The sequence below is a fragment of the Homo sapiens genome, chromosome 5 (genome assembly GCF_000001405.40).
Source record: "Homo sapiens chromosome 5, GRCh38.p14 Primary Assembly".
NCBI lineage: Eukaryota > Metazoa > Chordata > Mammalia > Primates > Hominidae > Homo > Homo sapiens.
In genome coordinates, this window is record NC_000005.10 from 112950172 (window position 1) to 112952350 (window position 2179).

Below are 2179 nucleotides of genomic sequence, written 5' to 3' on the forward strand. Positions count from 1 at the left end.
TACTAAACACATGTTGAGGTTTAGTAGACATGGACAGTCAGGATTCAGAGGGTCCGTAAAATGGAACGTCAGGCTTGAAGTCTGTTCTCTCTGGCTTTCCCATCTCTTTCTTCCCTTTCTTTTTCTGTGTCAATTCCTTGTCTTTGTTGTGTGGCTTCCTCTGTTCGCTTGAAGATAACCGAAAATGTCAGCCTTGATCTATCTAAACTTTATTGATTGATTTTTTTTTTTTTTAAATAGAGACAGAGTCTCCCTATGTTGCCCAGGCTGGTCTCGAACTCCTGGGCTCAAGGGATCCTTCGGCCCTGGCCTCCCAAAGTGCTAGGATTACAGGTGTAAGCCACCACACCCAGCCAGATCTATCTAAAGTTTAGATGCACATTTCTTTTGCTTTTGCAAGTTCACTTCTTGGAATTTGTACTGTAGATGCTCATACAAATGTGCAAAAGCTAAAAGTATCAATATCTTTGGGAAAAAAACTGAAAGCAGCCTAAATGTCCATTACTGAAGGACTATGTAAATAAATTATGTTATACATATTATTATTTTTTTTTTCTGAGATGGAGTCTTGTTCTGTCTCCCAGGCTGGAGTGCAGTGGTGTGATCTCGGCTCACTGCAAGCTCCGCCTCCCGGGTTCACGCCATTCTCCTGCCTCAGCCTCGCGAGTAGCTGGGACTACAGGCGCCTGCCACCACGCCTGGCTACTTTTTTCTATTTTTAGTAGAGACCGGGTCTCACCGTGTTAGCCAAGATGGTCTGGATCTCCTGACCTCATGATGCGCCCGCCTCGGCCTCCCAAAGTGCTGGGATTACAGGCATGAGCCACCACACCCAGCCTTTTTTCTTTTTCCTTTTCTTTTTTTTTTTTTTTTTTTGAGAGGGAATCTCGTTCTGTCGCCCAGGCTGGAGTGCAGCGGCGCGATCTCAGCTCACTGCAACCTCCATCTCCTGGATTCAAACGATCCTCCCAAGTAGCTGGGATTATAAGCATGTGCAACCACGCCAGCTGCTTTTTTTTTTTTTTTTTTTTTAGCAGAGATGGGGTTTCACCATGTTAGTCAGACTGGTCTCAAACTCCTGACCTCAAGTGATCTGCCAACCTCGGCTCCGAAAGTGCTGGGATTACAGGTGTGAGCCACCGCACCCAGTCAAATTATGGTACAGTCATTCAGTACATTTCTAGTGGTCACCAATATTTCTTTTCTTTTTCTTTCTTCTTTCTTTTCTTTTTATTTTGAGACAGGGTCTTGCTCTTTCACCCAGACTGGAGTACAGTGGTGCGATCACAGCTCACTGCAGCCTCCGCCTCTCAGGTTCAAATGATCCTCCCACCTCAGCCTTCCGAGTAGCTGGGACTACAGCCATGAGTCACCAGGCATGGCTAAATTTTTTTTGTATTTTTTGTAGAGATGGGGTTTTGCCATGTCGCCCAGGATGGTCTTGAACTTCTGGATTGAAGCGATCCTCCTGTCTCGGCCTCCCAAGGTGCTGAGATTATAAGGCGAGCAGCACTGTGCCAGGGCACTGGTCACCAGTATTTCTCGATTACCTCTTCTGAGTACATGGGGGGAATATACATGTCTTCCCCTTTGAGGTTTAGCTGCCAATGTGATTTGCTTTGGCCCCTGAAATTTGAGAAGCATTTTAGCAGCCCATTGAGATTCTCCATGCTCTCTTCTGCTGCAGCAATTGTAGAAACACATATTGGGATGGAGGCCCATGAGATGCTAAGCATCCCAGACCACTGATAGAGGACAGCAGATTTCACATGCACAAGAAATAAACTTGTATTCTGTTAAGCCACTGAGATTTTGGTAGTGTTTATCACAGCATAACCTACATCATTTTGATTGACACGGTATACTGTGCAGTCAGTAAAATAAGTGTGTGAGATATATATGTATATAAATATATATGTTGTATATAATATATAATATAGAGATATATTTATATAATATATATGTTATATATAATATATATTAATATAGATATATATTTATATTTTTATATATGTTATATATAATATATATTAATATAGATATGTATTTATATATAATATGTATATATAATGAAATGGAAAATGTCCAAGGTATTTTAAGTAATAAAAAACAAGGGACATAGCTATATAGAATTATTCTATTTGTAATTTTTTTCAAAAAAGTTATCTATAGAAAAAGA

The 2179-nt window shown here is 41.0% G+C and overlaps 2 annotated features.

Annotated features, from left to right (window-relative positions):
• Nucleotides 348-548: a silencer, noted in NCBI's record as "peak5421 fragment used in MPRA reporter construct". NCBI's record gives its function as "represses an SCP1 promoter by STARR-seq MPRAs in K562 erythroleukemia cells {active_cell/tissue: K562}" and the evidence as "EXISTENCE:reporter gene assay evidence [ECO:0000049][PMID:32103011]".
• Nucleotides 1006-1055: a silencer, noted in NCBI's record as "silent region_16241". NCBI's record gives its function as "represses an Ori minimal core promoter by ATAC-STARR-seq in GM12878 lymphoblastoid cells {active_cell/tissue: GM12878}" and the evidence as "EXISTENCE:reporter gene assay evidence [ECO:0000049][PMID:35858748]".